Source organism: Homo sapiens, chromosome 19, assembly GCF_000001405.40.
Source record: "Homo sapiens chromosome 19, GRCh38.p14 Primary Assembly".
Taxonomy (NCBI): Eukaryota; Metazoa; Chordata; class Mammalia; order Primates; family Hominidae; genus Homo; species Homo sapiens.
Window position 1 is genome coordinate 7,823,108 of NC_000019.10, and position 21,241 is coordinate 7,844,348.

The 21,241-nt window shown below is 51.8% G+C and overlaps 1 protein-coding gene across 2 annotated transcripts in view, besides 1 other annotated feature; it reads left to right on the forward strand.

Annotated features, from left to right (window-relative positions):
• Positions 6,968 to 7,207: a silencer, noted in NCBI's record as "silent region_9991". NCBI's record gives its function as "represses an Ori minimal core promoter by ATAC-STARR-seq in GM12878 lymphoblastoid cells {active_cell/tissue: GM12878}" and the evidence as "EXISTENCE:reporter gene assay evidence [ECO:0000049][PMID:35858748]".
• The window catches only part of EVI5L (ecotropic viral integration site 5 like), a 34,759-nt gene continuing 20,628 nt past the window's right edge, over positions 7,111 to 21,241 (forward strand). For both annotated transcript variants that reach the window (NM_001159944.3, NM_145245.5), the window contains exon 1: positions 7,111 to 7,274. The gene's annotated coding sequence lies outside the window, so the exon portion shown is untranslated. The remainder of the gene's footprint in view (positions 7,275 to 21,241) is intronic.

The following is a 21,241-nucleotide window of genomic DNA, read 5'->3' on the forward strand; positions in this document are numbered from 1 at the left end:
AAATTTAATATATATTAATTTAAATATATTATATTTATATATATATTAAATTTAATATATATATTTAAATTAGCGAGGCATGATGGTGCACACCTATGGTCCCAGCTACTCGGGAGGCTGAAGTGAGAGGACTGCTTGAGCCCAGGAGGACAAGGCTGCAGTGAGCCATGATTGCATCATGCATTCCAGGCTAGGTAACAGAGCAAGGCTCTGTCTCAAAAAAAAAGAAAGGAAAGAAGGAAGGAAGGAAGGGAGGGAAAGAGAGAAAGAGGGAGGCAGAGAAAGAGAGAGAAAAAGAGAAAGAGAGAGAGAGAAAGAGAAAAAAGGGAAAGGAAGGGGAGGGGAGGGGGATGGAGGGGGAGGGGTGGAGGGAGGGGAGGGGGATGGAGGGGGGAGGGGGGAGGGAGGGGAGGGGATGGAGGGGGAGGGGGAGGGGAGGGAGAAAAGGGAAAGGAAGGGGAGGGGAGGGGAGGAGGGAGGGGAGGGGAGGAGGGAGGGGAGCGGAGGAGGGAGGGGAGGGGAGGAAAAGGGAGAAAAGACAACACACCAAAACTTATGAGATGCAGCAAAAACAGCACTGAGGCTGAGGCAGGAGAATCACTTGAACCCCGGAGGCAGAGGCTGCAGAGAGCCAAGATCGCACCACTGCACTCCAGCCTGGGCAACAAGAGTGAAACTCCATCTGAGAAAAAAAAAAAAAAGAAAGCCTTCCAACAAAGAAAAGCCCACGACCAGATGGTGAATTCTACCAAACATTTAAAGAATTAACACTAATCCTTCTCAAACTCTTCCAAAAAATTGAAGAGAAGGAACACTTCCAAACTCATCCTACGAGGCCAGCATTATCCTGTTACCAAAGCCAGATACAGACACACACACACAAAAAAAAACCCCTACAGATCAATATCCCTGATGAATATTGATGCAAAAATCCTCAACAAAACCGTAGCAAAGGCTGAGCGCGGTGACTCAAGCCTGTAATCCCAGCACTTTGGGAGCCACGTGCAGGATGATTGCCTGAACCCAGGAGTTCCAGACCAGACTGGGCAACACAGCAAGACCCCCATCTCTAAAAATAAAATAAAGGACAGGAGTGATGGCTCACGCCTGTTATCTCAAAACTTTGGGAGGCTGAGGCAGGCAGATCACTTGATGTCAGGAGTTTGAGACCAGCCTCAACAACATGGTGAAACCTCGTCTCTACTAAAAATACAAAACTTAGCCAGGCATGGTGGCACATGCCTGTAATCCAAGCTACTCAAGAGGCTGAGGCAGGAGAATTGCTTGAACCTGGGAGGTGGGGGTTGCAGTGAGCCAAGATCGCCTCACTACACTCCAGCCTGGGAAACAGAGTGAGACTCTGTCTCAAAAAATAAATTAAAAATAAAATTACAAAAAAAAAAAGGAGACTTTTTTTTTCTTTGGATTACAGGCGTGTGCCACCACACACAGCTAATTTTTTGTATTTTTAGTAGAGATGGGGTTTCACCGTGTTAGCCAGGATGGTCTCCATCTCCTGATCTCATGATCCGCCCATCTCAGCCTCCCAAAGTGCTGGAATTATAGGCATGAGCCACCACGTCCGGCCTTTCTCTTTTTTTTTTTTTTTATTAGACAGAGTCTCACTCACCCAGGCTGGAGTGCAGTAGCATGATCATGGCTTGCCAGAGCCTCAAACTCCTGGGCTCATGCAATCCTCCCACCTCAGCCTCCTGAGTAGCTGAGACCACACGTGCACATTCAGAAGACTACTTCAACATAGTAAGGACTGTATATGGGGACCAGGTGCGAAGGCTTACCCCTGTAATCCCAGCACTTTGGGAGGCTGAGGCAGGCAGATCACCTGAGATCAGGAGTTCGAGACTAGCCTGACCAACATGGAGAAACCCCGTCCTACTAAAAATACAAAATTAGCTGGGCGTGGTGGCAGGCGCCTGTAATCCCAGCTACTCAGAAGGCTGAGGCAGGACCCAGGAGGAGAGGTTGCAGTGAGCCGAGATCGTGCCATTGCACTCCAGCCTGGGCAACAAGAGCGAAACTCCGTCTCAAAAAAGAAAGAAAAATAAAAAGCAAAACAGTCTTTAATAAAAACAAAGTCAGGCCGGGCATGGTGTAATCCGCTTGTAATCCCAGCACTTTGGGAGGCTGAGGCTGGCAGATCACCTGAGGTCAGGAGCTCGAGACCAGCCTGGGTAACATGGTGAAACCCTGTCTCTATTAAAAATACAAAAATTTTGCTGGGCACGGTGGCTCACGCCTGTAATCCCAGCATTTTGGGAGGCCGAGGCAGGTGGATCACGCGTTCAAGAGATCGAGACCATCCTGGCCAACATGGTGAAACCCCATCTCTACTAAAAATACAGAAATTAGCTGGGCGTGGTGGTGGCGCACACCTGTAGTCCCAAATACTCGGGAGGCTGAGGCAGGAGAATCACTTGAACCCGGGAGGCGGAGGTTGCAATGAGTGGAGATCATGTCACTGCACTCCAGCCTGGTGACAGAACAAGACTCTGTCTCACAAAAAAAAAAAAAAAAAAATTAGCTGGGTGTGTTGGTGGGCGCCTGTAATCCCAGCTACTCAGGAGGCTGAGGCAGGAGGATCTCCTGAGCCTGGGAGATCGAGGCTGCAGTGAGCTGTAATAGCACCACTGCACTCCAGCCTGGGTGACAAAACGAGACACTTTTTTTTCGAGAAAAAAAAAAGTCTTGGAGAAGATGTGAAGAAACTGGAACTCCCGTTAATCGGTAGGAATGTAAAATGGTGTGGCTACTGCAGAAAACAGGCTGGTGGTTCCTCAAAAAGCTAAACATAGGGCCAGGCATGGTGGCTCATACCTGTAATCCCAGCACTTTGGGAGGACAGGCAGTGGATCACCCGAGGTCAGGAGTTCTAGACCAGCCTGGCCAACATGGTGAAACCCCGTCTCTACTAAAAATACAAAAATTAGCCGGGCATGATGACAGGTGCCTGTAATCCCAGCTACTCAGGGGGCCGAGGCAGGAGAATCGCTTGAACCCAGGAGGCAGAGGTTGCAGTGAGCTGAGATTGTGCCATCACACTCCAGCCTGGGGGACAAGAACGAGACTTCGTCTCAAAAAAAAACCAAAAAGCTAAACATAGAATTATCATATGATCCAGCAATTCCACTTTAGATATCTACCCAAAAGAACTGAAAACAGAAATGCAAACAGATATCTGTGTGTGCCCAGGTTCATAGAGGCATTGTTCACAATAACGAATGGTGGAAACTACTCCACTTATCCATCTACAGATGAATGAATGAACCAAACGTGGTTTATACATATGATAGAATATTATTCAGCTATAAGAAGGAGGGAAATTCTGGCCAGGCGTGGTGGCTCATGCCTGTAATCCCAGCACTTTGGGAGGCCGAGACGGGCGGACCACAAGGTCAGGAGATCGAGACCATCCTGGCTAACACGGTGAAACTCCGTCTCTACTAAAAATAAAAAAAAATTAGCTAGGCGTGGTGGCGGGCGCCTGTAGTCCCAGCTACTCCGGAGGGTGAGGCAGGAGAATGGAGTGAACACGGCAGGCAGAGCTTGCAGTGAACCGAGATCATGCCACTGCACCCAGCATGGGTGACAGAGCGAGACTCCGTCTCAAAAACGAAAACAAACTAAGAAGGAGGGAAATTCTGACATGTGCTACAACATGGATGAAACTTGAAGACAATATGCTCAGTGAAATAAGCCAGGGCCGGGCGTAGTGGCTCACGCCTGTAATCCCAGCTAGTCGGGAGGCTGAGGCAGGAGAGTCGCTTGAACCCAGGAGGAGGAGGTTGCAGAGAGCTGAGATCACGACACTGCACTCCAGCCTGCACAGCAGATTCCATCTCAAAAAGAAAAAAAAAAAAAAGTTAGCCAGGAGCAGTGGCTCACGCCTGTAATCCCAGCACTTTGGGATGCTGAGGTGGGTGGATCACCTGAGGTCGGGAGTTCAAGACCAGCCTGACCAATGTGATGAAACCCCATCTCTACTAAAAATACAAAAATTAGCCAGGTGTGGTGGCATGCGCCTATAATCCCAGCTACTCTGGAGGGTGAGACAGGAGAATCGCTTGAACCCGGGAGGCGGAAGTTGCAGTGAGCCAAGATGCACCATTGCACTCCAGCCTGGGCAACAATAATGAAACTCCATCTCAAAAAAAAAAAAAAAGTTTAACTCAGAAAAAAAAATGATCATAAAATTTGTTATTAATCTGGCTAAACCCTGGCAGAAGAGTCTTTTAATAAACTTCCATGCGCAAAGTTTGATTCCAAAGAAATGACACTCATCCTAAGAAAACTTCACAATGGTAAAATCAACAGTTCATAAAAACTGTATGAAAACAGCCTGATTTGTGCATCAAATGTTTACTGTAAGGAACACCCCGAAAAATGTTCCTGATAAAAATGAATTCTATCAAAAAAAAACTTTGGAAACAGTTTCACTGCACTGTATAGAAAAGGGATCCAGGAATTTGACTGGCTTAATGCGGTGTTTGATGGAAAAGTCTTTTCCAACAGAAATGTGTTGGATTTATTTTTTTCCCACTGCGCTTATAAAAATGGAATCAAAGTGTCCTGGGAATGAAACCATTTTTTGTGTGAAAATGGTAGTGCAAAGAGGGGGTCAAATGTTCTGTTCATTTGCCTTAGGCTTGGTTTTATCCCCCAGACACCAGCTGTTGAGTGTCTCCTAGGCATGGTCCCAGAAAAATAACTGGTCACGACCTCTTCCTAGGGAGGTTCTGGACCCCACCTTGGCCTGAACCTCCGCAGACCACTCTGTCTCCCACATTCCTGCTAGTATTCTAGGACCAGAGACCCCAGGACTTTTCTTTTCTTTCCCTTTCTTTCTTTTCTTTCCTTCCTTCCTTTCTTGCTTGCAGAGTCTCGCGCCGTCACCCAGGCAGGAGCGCAGTGGTATGATCTCTGCTTACCGCAACCTCTGCCTCCCGGGTTCAAGTGATTCCCGAGCTTCAGCCTCCTGAGTAGCTGGGATTATAGGCGTGCGCCACCACACTTGGCTAATTTTTGTTTTTGTTTTTGTTTTTTTTGAGACGGAGCCTCGCTCTGTCGCCAGGCTGGAGTAGAGTGGAGCGATCTCAGCTCATTTTAACCTCCGCCTCCAGGTTCAAGCGATTCTGCTGCCTCAGCCTCCCAAGTAGCTGGGACTACAGGCACCCGCCTCCATGCCCAGCTAATTTTTGTATTTTTAGTAGAGACGGGGTTTCACCATGTTGGCCAGGATGGTCTGGATCTCTTGACCTCGTGATCTGCCCGCCTCGGCCTCCCAAAGTGCTGGGATTACAGGCGTGAGCCACCGCGCCCGGACCCTGGGGAGGTTTATTAACAGTTCCAGAACGTTGGCAGATGCAAAATAGACAGGAAGAGGGAGGGAGAGGCAGAGAGAGCTGGACAGAGGCCGGGACCATACGTGGATGTCAGTCACTGCTTGCAAGGCCACACAGAGTCTCCTACTACAGAGAAGGTTGAGCTCTCAGACCTTAGGAAGTCCTGACGTGCCCCTCCCTGGGTCCAGCCTTCCCTTCCCCATTCTGAACTTAGGACATCTAGCTGGGCGAGGTGGCTCATGCCTGTAATCCCAGCACTTTGGGAGGCTGAAGTGGGAGAACCTGGCACCAGGAGTTTCCGACTAGCCTGAGCAACATACCAAGACCCCAGCCTCTACCAAAAAAATTAGCCGGGCATGGTGTGCACGCACCTGTAGTCCCAGCTACTGGGGAGGTTGAGGCGGGAGGATCATTGGAGTCCAAGAGTTCGAGGCTGCATTGAGCTATGTTCGCATCACTGCACTGCAAACTGGGACACAGAGCGAGACCCTGTCTCTGAAAAATAAATAAATAAAAACACACTTATGACGTCACCCTCTCTGCTATGACAAGGTCCTTCCCTGCCCCACCCCCTCCAGGGCCCATCCCTACATCTTGGGGAGGAAATAAGTCCATTTTGGTCAGTCTTGCCCGCTGTCAGTAACTGTCCCTACGAATTCCTCTCTAGCTTGAAGGATTCTCCACCTCTCCCTTCTCTGTTAAAAGAGTCACGGGCCCATTTTCATTCATTCATTCATCAAATGTTTATAAGCAGTTTCCATGCTGGGGACCTGGAAGAGACCCGACCTAGGCCCTGCATCCCGACTCCCCGAGGATCTATCAGCCTGGGAGGATGGGGAATGGGAGGGCCTATCCCTCCCCACGATCACGGCGCGAACCGAGCTTTGATGGAGAAACACGCGGCTCTGTGAGCTTTAGAGAACACATTTAACCTGGCCTGGAGTAAGACAGGGGACGGGCCTGAATCTTTTATGGGACCCGCCCCCAATATCAACCGCCCCGTCCCCAGCACAGAACTGGGCTCCTAGACGACACGGTGCCATCACGTCCCCAGTGAGTCTTCAGGATTTCTGGCCACGCCCCTTCTCAGACCCAACCCCCGAGCCCCTCCCTTGCTTGACCCCGCCCCATCTCTGGCCTAGGCCACGCCCTCCTCTTAGCCCCACCCCCATTTCATTCAACCCAGGCCTCAAGCCCCACCGCCCAGGACGCCAATGCTCCCACCAATCTCACATACCCATTGGTCAGAGAGTGTCACTTTCCCGCCCTCCTTCAGTAGCATTGGTTCCCTAGGTGTCAATCTTCTTTATGGCGCCCCCAGCAGTTGCCAGGGCCCAGGTTTGAGGGGCAGATAATAATGGACGTCTCGGGGCGTCTCGTTATTGGGCAGAAAGCCCGGCTCTGGGCGGGGCTTAGTGCCAAACGCTTGGCCGCGTCTGCCTGGTGTTCCTCAGGGCCGCAGCCTTTCCTCACGGACACACCCCCACTTTCCTTGCTATTGGTCTTATCAGGTGTTGATCAATAGGATTCCTCATTCCGATACGCAAAACTACCTGTCCTTCACCGCTTCCCTCATTTCAATTCGCTCTCTCCTCAGAGGCGGCAACCTTCTGAACGTAGCCAGGGCCCGCCTCACGGAATGGCCACGGAATGGTCAGACACCCCGTCACTCCTGGCTGGTGGGCGGGGCCAGGGCGCCTGGGGGCGGCGAATTGGCGGATGGGGCCTCGGGGGCGGGGCAGCGGCTCCTGTCAGCGGGTGAAATGGCAGCGGCGGAGCCGGCGGCGGCCGCGGTCCCGGGGGGCGGCTGAGGGGGCCGGGCCGGGGCTGCGGGGCGAACGGCGCGGCTAGGATCCGGCGGCTCAGCCCGGGGCGGCGAGGCTCGGCACGGAGATGGCGGCGCGCTCGGCGCAGGTAGGGCGGCGCGGGCCGGGCCTCCCGGGCGCCTGCTCAGGCCGGCGGCTCCGTGATGCGGCCCGCGGGGAACCGGCAGGACCGCAACTCGGGCCGTCGTGCCCCGGAACCCGCGCTGGGAGCCTCGGCATCCCCAGCCCGGGACCTTCGGAGGACCCTGGCCCCTGCCCACCCTCGTTGCCGATCCCTCCGGACCCCTCCCCAGGAGCTCCTGCAGGATCCCCCTCCCCCACTCCGTCCCCTCCCCATGAGGACCCCGCAGGCCCAGGACCCCCGTCCACCCTTTGCAGTGACCCTCAGGACTCCTCTCCGGGAACCCCCTCAGGGCTCCCCATCCCCCCACTCCGCCGATCAGCCCCTCAGAAGCGCCCCCCAAGCCCAAGAACCCCCGTCCACCTTCTGCCCTGATCTCTCAGGACCCCTCCCTTCTGGACAACACTTGCCACCCCCTCCCCGCACCCCCTCACTTCACGTCCTCCTATCTTGGGCCCAGAACTGCCCCCACCTCTCCCCAAGGAGACCAGCCTCAGGGCCTACCCGCCCCCCATGCTGACCCCACAGGACCCCTCTCTGGCCTCTGTAAGTCGGATTTCCTACCCCTGCCCACAGCCCTCAGCTCAGCCTGCTAGCCCATCTCCCACCCCAGCTGCCACATGCCCAAGGGCACCCCTAAACACCACTCCCCGGCGTCCACCCAGCACACTGTGGTAGCTCCACTGATCCTGCCCCATCTGGATCCTGGCTCCTGGATCCTGAAAAATCCACCCATGCTCAAGACCTCCCGTTGGATATTCTGAACCACCCCACTCCCCATCCAGAGCCACCCATCTTTCTGAAAACCCCAAACACACACACACACACACACACACACACACACACACACACACACACAGTCACTTAGATCCCCCAGCACACACAGAAAAACTTAAGAGCTCCAACATAGACCCCAGGCATATCTGCCCCTGCCCCCACCCACTCAACACTTCTGCACCCCTCCTCAGATCCCACCTGTCCAGGCCCTCCCAGAGTCCCCGACAGCTCCCCCAGCTCAAGCAGAGATTCCAGAGACCATGAGGTGCCTGCCGCACCCCAGGAAGCCAACTTGCCCCTCCACCAAACCAGCGCCCACACTGGAGCCTTGGAGGGTGACAGGGCCCCAGAATCCCCCAGCACCTACCCCTGTGGGAACCTGCCCCAGGCCTCTGCCAAGTTATCCATCCTTCCCTGCTGTGCCCTTTCAAAGGGAAGGACGCTCACTTTCTCTCCTACACTAGTGTCCCGAAGGAACCACTGCCCGCCCCCTGATTTATGCCACCCCCTGGCGGGAAGGGAGAGGATTCACAGCTCCTGGCTTCCGTCCTGAAGTCTGCCCCCAGCCTCCTGACCCCATCACGCCTACTGGCCTCAAATGCCAGAGCCAGCAGGGCGGTCCAGGTTGCTCCTCAGAGCTGGCCCCTGACAGCCCGAGAGTTCTTTCACCCACAACTAGTGTGTTTGGCCAAAACAAAACAGCTTCCTTCTATCTTGGCATTTGAGACCTGGGTCGGGGCCTGCCAGAAGCAGGCAGCTCTTTGTTAAGGAATATTTTCAGAAGGGAAAAATGTGCTGAAGAGGCTCGAGTGGAACATGAATGAGTTGTCTGCTTCGTTTTATTCCCCCTCGGCCGGGATGTGATTGAGCTAGAGGACCCGTGTCCCTGTGTCTTTCCGTCTTTTGTGGCTCTTCCCATCCATCCCGCCGCCCTCCCCACTCCCAGCTCTGGCCTCAGGGTCCAACCTGTAGGTTCCTCTGGGCTTCTGTGGTCAGCGGAGGGTGGTTTGGAAGGGATCGCAGGTGGCTTGGCCCTGGCACAGGGATGAGACAAGACAGGAGAGGAGATGCTGGCGCGACACTGTGGCCAGGACTGCAGGGGGCGAGGAGCCGGGCCGGTCCAGTCCCGCGCAGCCTGGGCACTGTGCGTCTGGGGTCCTTCTGACAACATAACTGTGCTCAGAAACCCTGAGATAAAAGGCCCAGGCTTCCTTGTGGATATTCACTAGCGGATTGTGGACCATCCAGGAAAAAGCTCATTGCGGCTCAGTACCTCAACTTCCCCATCGGAAACTGGGGTGCGGGGAGAGCGGCTAAATTTTTAGAACAGAACTTGGAACTGCAGGAAGGCTAGGGTGTGGCCCTGTGTGTTCCCCCAGTGCCGTGTGGAAGGGGACAGCAAGGTCTCGGAGGGGAGTCCTATGGGCTCCTGTGAATCACTGGCCACCCAGGTCCCTGCGAGGGTCTTAGTTGACACTTCATTGAAAAGTGGCCATCTTCCTAGGGCTGAGCTGTATTGCAGGGAGCCAGCTCGAATCAGAGCTGGAAGAATGGAGATGAGAGATGGTCTGCTGCAGGACTTGTGGTTATACACAGGGTCTTCCCAGGAGGACCACGGGGAACAGGGTGGGCATGAGGGGCTGTCGGATAGCCATGCTGAGGCCCCACATAGATCTCTGATGCCCCACATAGACCTCTGACACCGGGTAGGAAGAGGTTTGTTCTGTCCACTTGCTGAAGGAAGGCGTGGAGGAAAAGACTCCTGAAGGTCACGTGGTATCTCTCACGCACAGGAAACTAAACTCTACAGCCTCCCCAGGGTGGAATTTTGTGCAGAGACAGTGGGGTATGAAGGCTTCCCAGGATGACTGTGAACTCTATAGGAAACCACGAGGAGGACTTGTCAGTGATACGAACGCAGTTTTACCCGAGACTGGGCTCGTGGAGCTGCATCTTTGTTTGAGCTTTGAGGGGGCAGACGGATGAGGAGGAATGTATATTTCAATTTCCTCTTGCAGAATAGAGATGCCAGTTGTTACAGGGAAGCCCTGGGCCTGGAGTCAGATGTTGGGGTGTGAAGGAATGTAAGATGTGTACAATGTGGTCCCTGCTCTGCGTCTAAAGTCCTCTCACTGGCATGCGGCGGCCCCCGCCATGTGCTCAGCACCATGCCAAGCACCATTGACATATTATCTCATTTAATCCTCCCCAAAACTCGGAGGAACCAGGATTGCAGCACGCGCCCTTGCCATCCTGGCCTGAGGCCTGCTGCGGGGAGCATGAGACAGAATTATGTACAGCAGGCTGCAATGGGAGCCCGGAAAAAAAGCCTGATGCATCCCTGGGGTGTTGGGGAAGGCACAGCAGGGATGACGTATGGACCAGGTCACAGGCAGGCGTGGCAGGGAAGGGTGTTCCAGGCAGCAGAAGTGCTTGGACACACGCCCAAGAGGCAGGAGCAAGCGTGGTGCGCTCAGGGAGGCGTGTCCCTGTACTTCCTTTGATAGGCGTCTTACTACAAGCCCTTGTGTCCCCAGTGCCATCTGTACACTTGGCACACATGGTGGGGGGCTCCCCAGCAAAGGGGATCCCTAGTTGGGAGAACTTGGAAAGGCAGCAAAGCCGCCCTTCCCAGGGAAGACTGCAGCACACACATGCTAGCAGCCCGGGCAATAGAAGGAAGGAGGTGAGTTTAGGAGAACTAACTCAGCTCATCAGGGTCAGGGAGAACTAACTCAATTCATCAGGGTTAGGGAAGAGACTTACCCTTTTGAGGGAGATTTGGAAGGCCTCATTGGCATGACTCACCTGCACTTTCATTCATTTCTCAGCATGCCACGATATGCTTGTGAGAGTGTTTGATTGAAATCTGAGGCCCGGCACGGTGGCTCACGCCTGTAATCCCGGCACTTTGGGAGGCCGAGGCGGGTGGATCACCTGAGGTCAGGAGTTCGAGACCAGCCTGGCCAACATGGTGAAACCCCGTCTCTATTAAAAATACAAAAAAATTAGCAGGGTATGGTGGTGCACACCTGTAGCCCCAGCTCACTTGAACCTGGGAGGCAGAGCTTGCAGTGAGCCAAGAACGCGCCACTGCATGCCAGCCTGGGCAACAGAGCGAGACTCCATCTCAAAGAAATAAATACAAATTTTAAAAATTTTTAAAAAAAGAAAAATGAGGGTTTTGCCAGAAGGGAACCTATTATAATAGCCAAAAGTAATCTGGTCAGATGACAAGAAAGAAAATTTTTTTTTAGGTCAGAAAGGATTCTGCAGGTCAGAATGGTTCACTTCTCAGATTTTAGCCAAAGGTGTGTGCTGCTGTTGCTGCTATTGTTATCAATAAAGATTATTCTAGTTTTACTGTGTTTACTCTTTAAACAGGATCACCACAGAAAGGGAGGGCCTGTTGAAGAGGGGAAGTTTATTTATCCCACAAATATGGGATGCCTACTAGACTCTGAAGATCCAATAGTGGGCTAGACAGCCCCAGCCCCTGCCCTAGTAGAACTTTTCATCCAGAAGGGAATAAATATCACAGGTCAGGCTTGTCCTAAGCACATGACAGGTTTAAGCTCATTGATTCCTTCCAACAAAAACTGTGGGGTAGATACTGTCATTAGCCCTGTTTTCAGATAATGAAACTGAGGCAGGCCAGGTGCAGTGGCTCACGCCTATAATCCCAGCACTTTGAGAGGCCGAGTCAGGGAGATAACTTGAGGCCAGGAGTTTGAGACCAACCTGGGCAACATAGTGAGACTCTCTCTCTGCAATAATAATAATAATAATAACAAAATTAGCTGGACATAGTGGCAAGTGTCTGTAGTCCCAGCTACTTGGGAGGCTGAGGCAGGAGAATCACTTGAGCTCAGGAGTTGGAGCCTGCAGTTGGCTATGATTGTACCACTATACTGCAGCCTGGGTGACAAAACAAGACCCTGTCTCTAAAAATAAAATAAAAATAAAAATAAACAAAAAAAATTGAGGCAAAATACATCATACCCAAGGTTACAAAGATAGAAAGTGGTAGAGGAGGCCAGGAGCGGTGGCTCACACCTGTAATCCCAGTACTTTGGGAGGCTGAGGCGGGTGCATCACCTGAGGTCAGGAGTTCGAGACCAGCTTGGTTAACACAGTGAAACCCCGTCTCTACTAAAAATACAAAAATTAGCGAGGTATAATGGCGGGCATCTGTAATCCCAGCTACTCAGGAGGCTGAGGCAGGAGAATTGCTTGAACCCAGGAGGCAAAGGCTGCAGTGAGCCAAGATCGTGCCACTGCACTCCAGCCTGGGTGACAGAGGTAGACTCGGTTTCAAAGAAAAAAGAATAAAAAGAAAAGAAAGAGGTAGAGGAAGGATTTGAACCCAGGCTGCAAGCTCTGAAGTTCTCACCTGGAGCCAAGAGATCTGGGATAACAACCTACATTCCAAGGCCAGGGATATGGAAACTTCCAGAACCATGTGGAGGAGCAGCTAGACTGGGCGCAAGAAGAGATCAGGCAGGGACCTCTGAATTCAAGCCGCTGTTCTTGTTATCCAAGGGGCAGCTCACCTGTCAGTTGTCCGCCCACACCTTGCCAAGGACGAGAGGACCTAAGGTGCTAGGTTGGGCCATTTCCCCAGAGGTCAGAGCCAGCCAAGACAGCAGCAGTCTGTCAGGCTAGACAAATCGGGGTCACATGGCATCTTGGGCTTTAGATTCCGAAATGAGTCTGTGTCCCTGGTAATCATTAGACATGGAGGAATCAGAAATGGGGGGTAGGGCCGGGCGTGGTGGCTCACACCTGTGATCTCGGTACTTTGGGAGGCCGAGGCGGGAGGATCACCTGAGGTTAGGAGTTCAAGACCAACCTGGCCAACATGGCGATACCCTGTCTCTACTAAAAATACAAAAATTAGCCAGATATGGTGGCACGCACCTGTAATCCCAGCTACTCGGGAGGCTGAGGGAGGAGAAGTGCTTGAACCCAGGAGGCGGAGGTTGCAGTGAGCCAAGATCGTGCAACTGCACTCCAGCCTGGGCTACAGAGCAAGACTCTGTCTCAGAAAAGAAAAAAAGAAGGAAATGGGGGGTAGGGGAGTAAGGGAAACAACATGGAAAGGAAACTCGGGGTCTTCATTGCTGTCTCTGAAAATGCCACAGACTGAAAGATGCATCATATGTGCTCGCCCTCTCTCACCGTTGAAAAATAATGACTGTTTTCACTGAGTAACCCCTGCACTTGGGGTTTCACATACGTGTATCATTCCCAAAGTAAAAGAATACAGACAGAGCTGCAGCACAGCGGGTGGATTTAGGGCAAAGGCTATACAGTCAGAAATCCAAGTTCAAATCCTTCTTCCTCCTCAGCCTAGTCAAGGGACTCTCTGTGCCATATGGCACTTGTGTGTTAAAGCCGTCGTTGGCTTTTCTGCTTACACTGTACAGAAATTTCTATTTTTATTTTTTTCATTTTTTTTTTTAGACGGAGTCTCTCACTCTGTCATCCAGGCTGGAGTGCAGTGGCGTAATTTCAGCTCACCGCAACCTCTGCCTCCTGGGTTCAGCCTCAGGAGTAGCTGGGATTATAGCCATGCGCCACTACACCTAGCTAATTTTGTATGTGTGTGTGTATTTTTAATAGAGACAGGGTTTCACCATGTTGGCCAGGCTGGTCTCGAACTCCTGACCTCAAGTGATCTGCCCCCCCTCAGCCTCCCACAGTGCTGGGATTACAGACATGAGCCACCGCACCCAGCCTTTATTATTATTTTTAAAATAGACTTGGGCTGAGGCAGGAGGATCCCCTGTGGCCAGGAGTTCAAGACCAGCCTGGGCAGCAGAGTGAGACCCCTGTCTCAAAAATAAAATAAAATGGCCAGTTGTGGTGGCTCACGCCTGTAATCCCAGCACTTTGGGAGGCTGAGGCGGGCGGATCACCTGAGGTCAGGAGTTCAAAACCAGCCTGGCCAACATGGTGAAACCCCATCTCTACTAAAAATACAGAAATTAGCCGGGCGTGGTGGTGCGCACCTGTAATCCCAGCTACTTGGGAGGCTGAGGCAGGAGAATCACTTGAACCTGGGAGGTGGAGGTTGCAGTGAGCCGAGATCACACCACTGCACTCCAGCCTGGGCAACAGGAGTGAAACTCCTTCTCAAAAAATAAAAAATAAATAAAATAAAATAAGACTATTTTGTAGAACACTTTGAGATTTATGGAACAATTGAGAAGACGATACAGAGTTTCCATATGCCCCATACCCAGTCTCCTCTATAGTTAATGTCTTCCATTCATATGATACATTTGTTGTAGTTAATGGGCCAGTATTGATATATTATTATTAACTAAAGTCCACCTTTCATTCAGATTTCCTTTGTTTTTTCCCAGTAACCTTCTTCCATCCCAGGATCCCACATGACATTTAGTCGTCATGTCTCCCTAACCTCCTCTGGGCTGTGACAGTTTCTCAGACTTTCCTTGCTTTTCGTGACCTTGACGTTTTTGTTTGTTTGGTTTGGTTTGGTTTTTGTTTTTTGTTTTTTGAGATGGAGTTTCGCTCTTGTTGCCCAGGGTGGAGTGCAATTGTGGTGCAGTCTCGGCTCACCACAACCTCTGCCTCCTGGGTTCAAGCGATTCTCCTGCCTCAGCCTCCCAAGTAGCTGGGATTGCAGGCATGTGCCACCACGCCCGGCTAATTTTGTATTTTTAGTAGAGACAGGGTTTCTCCATGTTGGTTAGGCTGGTCTCGAACCCCTGACCTCAGGCGATCTGCCTGCCTCAGCCTCCCGAAGTGCTGGGATTACAGGTGTGAGCCCCCATGCCCGGCCAACCTTGACGGTTTTGAGGAAGGTGGAGTAGGTGTTGTGTAGAATGTCCTCTAATACTGATCTGTCTGGTGTGTTTATTTTTTTTTTGGTTGGTTTTTTTTTGTTTTGTTTTGTTTTGTTTTTTGAGACGGAGTCTCGCTCTGTCACCCAGGCTGGAGTGCAGTCGTGCAATCTCGGCTCACTGCAACTTCCGCCTCCTGGGTTCATGCCATTCCCCTGCCTCAGCCTCCTGAGTAGCTCAGATTACAGGCATGTGCCACCACGCCCAGCAAATTTTTTTGTATCTTTAGTAGAGACAGGGTTTCATCATGTTGGCCAGGCTGGTCTCAAACTCCTGACCTCAAGTGATCCGCCGGCCTTGGCCTCCCAAAGTGCTGGGATTACAGGTGTCAGCCACCATGCCCAGCCACTCTGGTGTTTCTCATGGTTAGACTGGGGTCTTGGGGAGGAAGACCACAGGGGTGAAGGGTCCTTTCTGTCACATCCTATCAAGGGTACGTGTTAGCCACGTAACTTATCACTGTTGATGTTGACCTTGATCACCTGCCTAAGCGACATGGAAAGTTTCATCTTCATTTATTCAACAAACGTTTGTCGAGCATGTACTGAATGCCAGATAGTGCATTAGGGGCTTGGAATAGAGAATTAAGAAGAGAGGCTCTTGTCCTCAAATCGTGCATGACCCTAGGGCAGGCAGGCAGGCAGGTTTAGAAATAATTGCCATAGAATGTGCATTGGGCTTGGGTGTAGGCAGAGGGGTGGATGTTTTCAGGGAGAGAGAGGGGGAAAAGCGAGCCAGGATGCTGGAAGAAGGGAGGTTGACAGAGAAGTTTTCACAGAAAGAATGGCCAAACCGGCCAGGCACAGTCCCAGCACTTTGAGGAGCCGAGGCGGGAAGATTACTTGAACCCAGGAGGTCAAGTCTGCAGTGAACAGTGAGCTATGATCATACCAGTGCACTCCAGCCTGGGAGACAGAGCAAAACCCTGTCTCTAAAAAGAAAAAAAAAAAAATCCTTGGCCAGGCACGGTGGCTCACGCCTGTAATCTCAGAACTTTGGGAGGCCAATGCGGGCAGATCACAAGGTCAGGAGATCAAGACCATCCTGGGTAACACAGTGAAACCCCATCTCTACTAAAAAATACAAAAAATTAGCCAGGCGTGGCGGTGGGTGCCTGTAGTCCCAGCTACTCAGGAGGCTGAGGCAGGAGAATGGCGTGAACCCAGGAGGCGGAGCTTGCAGTGAGCCGAGATCGCGCCACTGCACTCCAGCCTGGGCGACAGAGCAAGACTCCATCCATCTAAAAAAAAAAAATCCAAACCGGGTCTTGGAGAATGCCCTTCCAGTCAGAGGGAACAGAGTATGCACAGACACTGGCAGACATCAGGAGACCCATGTGCCTGGAGGACTGAGTGTGCCAAGCAGGGATGCAGAAAGAGGCGAGGCTGGGAAGGGCATGCACGTCTTGCAAAGACATCTGGGCTCCATCTCACCATTGGGAGCTGCTAAAGGGTCTTAGGCAGGCAATGACGTGGCAAGAGCTGCAGTTCTGTATGGTTCTGGTGGCCCCATGGACAGAGCATCAGAAAGGACAGAAAGTTCAATGGACGTGGCAGGCGCCATCAAGACAGCAGCTTTGGTGGGGCACGGTGGCTCACACCTGTGATCCCAGCACTCTGGGAGGCTGAGGCAGGAGCATCACTTGAAGCCAGGAGTTCAAGAGCAGCCTGGGCAACATAGTGAGACCCCAAGTCTCCAAAATTAGAAAAATTGGCAAGGCATGGTGGCGAATATCTGTGGTCCCAGATACTCAGGAGGCTGAGGTGGGAGGATCACTTGAGGCCAGGATCTCGCACCACTGCACTCCAGCCTGGGAAACAGAGCAAGACCTTGTCTCTAAAAGCAACAACAACAACAAAAAGACAGCAGCTTCCAGCCTGGAGAGCAGAGGCCAGTTGGGAGTGAGGTGTGGGATGTGGGTGGTAGACTTGGCTGAGCTCTAGAACATGAGAAGGGAGGAGGGGAACACCCAGGCCTGGCCAGAGTGGGTGGGTGGAGGTGGCAGGTGGCACCGGGGACCCAGATAGATGCACCCGCAGTAGGACAAGGGGCCTGCTTCTGTCAGGAAAGCATTGAATTTGAAGAGCATCTCCGCATGAGGGGCCAGAAGGGTCTTTCTAAAATGCAAACCTAGGCCACGGGCAGTGGCTCACGCCTGTAATCCCAGCACTTTGAGAGACCCAGACGAGTGAATCACTTGAGGTCAGGAGTTCAAGACGAGCCTGGCCAACATGGCGAAACCCTGTCTCTACTAAAAATACAAAATTAGCCAGGCATGGCGGCACATGCCTATAATCCCAGCTACTCGGGAGGCTGAGGCAGGAGAATTGCTTGAACCCGGGAGGTGGAGGTTGCTGTGAGCCAAGATCATGCCATTGCACTCCAGCCTGGGCAACAAGAGCAAAACTCCATCTCAAAAAAAAAGAATCACCCCAATTAAAGCTTACAGTTTGGTGGCATTTATTCCAACTGTGTTGTGCAACCATCACCACTATCTAATTCTGGAACATTTCTATCACCCCAAAAAGAAACCTACACCCATAAGCAGTTTCTCCCCATTCCTCCCTCCCCCTGGCCCCTGGTGACCACAAATCCACTTTCTGTCTCTATGGATTGCCTATTCTGGACATTCCGTATAAAGGGAGTCACACAGTGTGTGGCCTTTGGTGTCTGGCATCTCTCACTGAGCACCTTGTTTTCAAGGTTCATCCATGCTGTGGCCTGTCTCGGTGCTTCACTCCTTTTCATGGCTAAGTAATATTCCACTGTCTGGGTGGACCATGTTTTGTTGATCCATTCACCCGTTGATGGACATGTGGATTGTTTCTGCTTTTTGGCTGTTGTGAACAATGCTGCTGTGAACAGATGTTTGCCGTTCTCTTGCGTTGAGCCCTACGAGTGGATTTGCCAGGTGGCGTGGTGACAGTGTGTTTAAGTCTTTGAGGAACCGCCTGACTGTTCTCCATCCTACCGTATTGTTTACTGCAAGCATTTATCTCAATCTGTGAAGGAGGGTCTGGGTGATTGTTTCTTGGTCTCTGCCCCGGACACTCCAAGAGGGCACAGGTGATTCCTGCCTCTGCGGGGGAAACACAGAACATGGAATGGTGGGTGGGCTGGGGGCTGATGGAGCTGTTCTGGCAACTTGGGCAACTTTGGCCAGTTCTTGAGAGAAACGAAAAGCTGGTGACATACATTTGGTCATTTAAGCCCCAAGAATGAGATCCCCAAGGGCATCAAGATCAAGGCCAAGGAGGGACCCAGGGAGGAAGAGATGCCACGTGGGAGAATGAGAAGTCCCGGCCAGAGAGGCAGGAAGGAAGCCAGGAGCCCAGTCCTCATCAGCCAGGTGGGAGGGGGCTTAGGGAAGGAGGAAGCATGCGCGGCAGTGCCCCCGAGAGGGAAAGCCAAACGGAAGTCGAAGATGACCAGCATTCCAGCACTTTCCGTCCCCACGCCCCCCACAACCCCCAAACACAGCCCCTTTCCAGTGCTCTGGCCTGGCTCAGCTTCCTAAGCTGTAGGTGGCCCTGTGGAGGTGTGGCTTGAGTGGGTGCTGGCAGGGGCAGGGTCCAGGACCCCCCTTCAGATGGCTGAGGAGCAGTTGAGGGTGAAGCATTGAAATTAAGGACACGGAGAGGCTGGGACCCCAGACCCAGAGGCCAGTGGGTGGGTTGCCAAGGCCTGTGCCCATCCAGCATAGGGAGATGGAGATGGGGCCTCCCCTGCCTCGCTCCCTACCATGTCTCCTGCCTAGACAGTGGCCGGCCCTCAGGTGGCCCTCAGTCAGCACCAGGAAGGAGTGATTGAGCCAGTGAGGGTCATGGCACAGTGGGAGGGGTGCAGGGTCGCCCACAGAATCAGGACAGCAGCCCACCTCCACCCCAAACCTGCTCTGTTCCCAGGGGGTGAGCGCTGCTCGGTGCAGGAAGTGTGTGAGCGCGTGTGTGTAGATGGGTGGGAATGAATGTGTGTGTGCCTGAGTGCGGGTGCAAGAGTGTGTGTCAATGGGTATGTTTTGTGTTGAGAAGTGTGAAAGAGTATGTGTGTATGCCTGAGTGTGTGAATGTATGTCATGTGCATGTGTATGAGGTGTGTACTGTGTGTGTGAATGTGCATGGGTGTGTGTGTTGTGTGTGCATGTATATGTGTGTGTGTGAATATGCATAGGTGTGTGTGCATCAAGTGTGTGCATGTGTACATGTGTATGAATGTGCATGGGTATGTATCCAGTGTGTGCGTGTGTGAGAATGTATGAATGTATGTATCAAGTGTGTGCATGTGTGTGTGAATGTGTATCAAGTGCGTGCATGTGTGTGCATGTCTGTGAGAATGTGAGTGTGTGTGTATCAAGTGTGTGCATGTGTGTGCATGTCTGTGAGAATGTGTGAATGTGTGTGTATCAAGTGTGTGCATGTGTGTGGGGATGTGTGAAAGTGTGTGTATCAAGTGTGTGCATGTCTGTGAATTGGGGTGTATCAAGTGTGTGTATGTGTGTGAATTGTGTGTGTGCATGTATCAAGCATGTGTGAATGTGCATGGGTGTGTATCAAGTGTGTGCGTGTGTGAAAATATGTGAATGTGGGTGTTTATGTATCAAGTGTGTGCATGGATGTGTGTGCAAATTGTGTATCAAGTGTGTGGATGTGCACGAGTATGTGTGTATTGTGTGCATGTGTGTGAAGGTACTGGGTGTGTGTGTATATGAGTGTGCGTGCACAAATATGCATAAGCATGTGTATATCGAGTGTGCACATGTGTGTGTGAAGGTATATAGGTGTGTGTATCTGAGTGTGTCCATGTGTATGTGTGAATGTGCATGGGTATGTGTGTATTGAGTGTGTGCATGTGTGTGTGAAGGTACCGGGTGTGCGTGTATCCGAATGTGTGCATATGTGTAAACGTGTGACTATGGATGAGCACGTGTGTTGAGTGTGTGCATGTGTGTATAGGTGTGTGAGCGTGTGTGTGAGAGAATAGGCATGGCTGTGTGTCGAGTATGTGCATGTGTGTGTATAGGTGTGTGAGTGTGTGAGAATAGGCATGGGTGTGTGTGTCATGTGCATGTGTGTGTATAGGTGTGTGAGCGAATAGGCATGGGTGTGTGTGTTGAGTATGTGCATGTGTGTGTATAGGGGTGTGTGTGTGAGAATAAGCATGGGTGTGTGTCGAGTGTGTGCATGTGTGTATAGGTGTGTGTGAGAATAGGCATGGGTGTGTGTGTCATGTGTGCATGTGTGTGAGAGAATAGGCATGGGTGTGTTGAGTGTGCATGTGTGTGTATAGGTGTGTGAGTGTGAGAATAGGCATGGGTGTGTCGAGTGTGTGCATAGGTGTGTGAGTGTGAGAATAGGCATGGGTGTGTCGAGAGTGTGTGTGTATGGGTGTGTGAGTGTGTGTGAGAATAGGCATGGGTGTGTCAAGTGTGCATGTGTATAGGTGTATGAGTGTGTGTGAGAATAGGCATGGGTGTGTCGAGTGTGTGCATGTGTGTATAGGTATGTGAGTGTGAGAATAGGCATGGGTGTGTGTCAAGTGTGTGTGTATAGGTGTGTGTGAATAGGCATGAGGGTGTGTGTCGAGTGTGTGCATGTGTGTGTATAGGTGTATGAGTGTGTGTGTGTGAGAATAGGCATGGGTGTGTGTATCCAAGTGTTTGCATGTGTATGTGTGAGAGTTTGTATGTGAGTGGGGGTGGGTGTGAATGTGTGTACATGCGTGAGGGAGTGGGGTGGCTGTGAAGAGTGTGAGAGTGCATGTGTGTTGTGCGTGCACACACGCTTCAGGAGGATGGTTTCCACTGAGAGAGTCTGGGGATGAGTGGAGAGAAAGTTCCGGTGGGATCAGAAGGTTCCTGCCTCTCAGACTGCAAGTTTCAGCCCTGTGTATTTAATACATTTCACTTCCTGTATGAAATACACACACATTCGTGATAAATAGCTGAACAACCTCTGCTGGTGGACGGCTCCCGGGTTTGGGGGATTTTTAAAATCAGAAACTGAGGCTCGGCTGGGCGCGGTGGCTCACATCTGTAATCCCAGCACTTTGGGAGGCCGAGGCAGATGGATTCCGAGGTCAGGAGTTCGAGACCAGCCTGACCAACATGGTGAAACCCCGTCTCTACTAAAAATACAAAAATTAGCTGGGCGTGGTGGCACGCACCTGTAATCAAGCAGGAGAATCGCGTGAACCCGGGAGGTAGAGGTTGCAGTGAGCCAAGATTACGCCATTGCACTCCAGCCTGGGCAACAGAGCGAGACTCCGTCTCAAAAAAAAAAAAAAAAA